General features: G+C 42.5%; 1 pseudogene; it reads left to right on the top strand.

Moving 5' to 3' along the window:
• RPL15P3 (ribosomal protein L15 pseudogene 3) lies at positions 1,081 to 1,786 on the top strand (annotated as a pseudogene).

Consider the following 2,550-nt stretch of genomic DNA (forward strand, 5'->3'; position numbering starts at 1 on the left):
CATCTCTTTACTCTTGCTCATATGCCTTCTCTTCCCCAGAATCTTGCCCAAATCCTACCAATGGCTCAAGACTCAGATCAAGTACTATTTCCTCTGATCGTTCTTCCACTGTTGTCTTATTCAGCAAATAAAGGGGTGACTAGATGCAGGGCACCATGCTATGGAGACAAAGAAGACAACATGTGAATCCTTCCACAATTCTAAATTCAAGAGCCAGGAATACAAAAACATAGATGTAGTCAAATATCACAGAATCTAGACTAAAGGGATTAGGAAACCATAGACTGAACCAAATGGTCAATTCAGCTTGGTCAAGGTGATACGGTGTAGAAAACACTTCATGGGTATGGGGTCATGAATCTGACTCTGTGTACACAAGTATCCCTTACACTCAAGCAGATGTCTATCAAGTAGAATGGATATAAATTATAGTGGAGAGGGATATTCCTCAAAGAGGGATGTGACATGTGAAAACACAAGAGATTGAAGGATCCTGTCTTATTTGGACCTGAAAGAAGTTGCATGAGATAGACACAGAGGGGTGAGGCAAGAGATAATTTAGGGAAAGTTAAGGGATGCTAAATCCTGATCATTTTCTGTTCATTCAACAGAAGTTAGGCATTGTCCTCAAGAAACCAGGGAGCCCCTGAAGGTTTTTAAACAATGAGAGCAAATGAGAAGATGTATGTTTTAGAAAAATCTTTGGAAGAAGCAGGAGGATAGAGGAAGGTGAGGTTGGAGGCAAAGTACAGATTGAAGATTGTATCAGCTCTTGGGGTAGAACATAGCTCACATTTTCTACTTGAAAGTTCCATTGTGCTGATAGTCAGAACTTTATTTTGCCGCTTAGTTGTTCTATTGTTATTACATTCATCAGATTTTCCTCTCTACTACTATATTGAAAAGTATTCCTGCCCTGACACAGCTTACAATGTTTTTTGGTACCTCCTCTGCTAACCTTCTGCAACAGCCTCATACACACACACACACACACACACACACACACACACACGCGCACACACACACACACACACACACACATCTCCGAGGAAAAAGATACAAATAAAGAAGATGGACAGGCTTTCCTTTCCGTCTGGCGGCAGCCATCAGGTAAGCCAAGATGGGTGCATACAAGTACATCCAGGAGCTATGGAGAAAGAAGCAGTCTGATGTCATGCGCTTTCTTCTGAGGGTCCGCTGCTGGCAGTACCGCCAGCTCTCTGCTCTCCACAGGGCTCCCCGCCCCACCCGGCCTGATAAAGCGCGCCGACTGGGCTACAAGGCCAAGCAAGGTTACGTTATATATAGGATTCGTGTTCGCCGTGGTGGCCGAAAACGCCCAGTTCCTAAGGGTGCAACTTACGGCAAGCCTGTCCATCATGGTGTTAACCAGCTAAAGTTTGCTCGAAGCCTTCAGTCCGTTGCAGAGGAGCGAGTTGGACGCCACTGTGGGGCTCTGAGGGTCCTGAATTCTTACTGGGTTGGTGAAGATTCCACATACAAATTTTTTGAGGTTATCCTCATTGATCCATTCCATAAAGCTATCAGAAGAAATCCTGACACCCAGTGGATCACCAAACCAGTCCACAAGCACAGGGAGATGCGTGGGCTGACATCTGCAGGCCGAAAGAGCCGTGGCCTTGGAAAGGGCCATAAGTTCCACCACACTATTGGTGGCTCTCGCCGGGCAGCTTGGAGAAGGCGCAATACTCTCCAGCTCCACCGTTACCGCTAATATAAGTAAAGTCTGTAAAATTCATACTTAATAAACAATTTAGGACAGTCAAAAAAAAAAAAAAAAAGAAGATGGACAGAAAATGCTTTTATTTGACAGATTCCTCAAGAGGGATTAATAGTACACAGCAGTATGAGTGTGGTCAGCAGCAGTGAATGTCCTATACACATATAAGCTCTTAAAAGATATTTGAAGGCTAAAGAAACACACTAGAGGGTTGGAATGTGTCTGTCTTGTGATTTTTTAATCCTTTGGCTATTTATTCTACATAACCTAATTTAATTTGAACATTTGCATATAAAAATGCCTGGCCACCATCAACTAATACTCTAACTTTGACTTCACTAAGTTTGTGAGATGACTTTTGCCATGAACACGTTACCCTCCATTTTTCCAAGGGAGTGTTTTTGGAACCTAATCAAACTGAGAATTTGCATTCAAAGGTATCCATTTTCTAACTTGCAAAGCTGACTTTTTAATCAGACTTCTTATCTGCAAGCACAAATTGGCCTTTGCTGAATACATCATCTTAATTGAGAGAAGATTGTATTATAGGTGTATAAAAAAAGATACATGCTGTTAAGGTGTAATGGAATTTTGTGGATAAGTGGGAGGTTAAAGTAAGGGAAAACTCCCTTACTTTAGGTGTCCTATTCTTGATTTTAAAATTCATGGGTCTGGACACAGTGGCTCACACCTGTAATCCCAGCACTTTGGGAGGCCAAAGCAGGTGAATCACTTGAGCCCAGGAGTTTGAGATCAGCCTGCATAATATGGCAAAACCCTGTCCCTACAAAATACAAAAATTAGCTGGG

The sequence above is a fragment of the Homo sapiens genome, chromosome 6, assembly GCF_000001405.40.
Source record: "Homo sapiens chromosome 6, GRCh38.p14 Primary Assembly".
Lineage (NCBI taxonomy): Eukaryota > Metazoa > Chordata > Mammalia > Primates > Hominidae > Homo > Homo sapiens.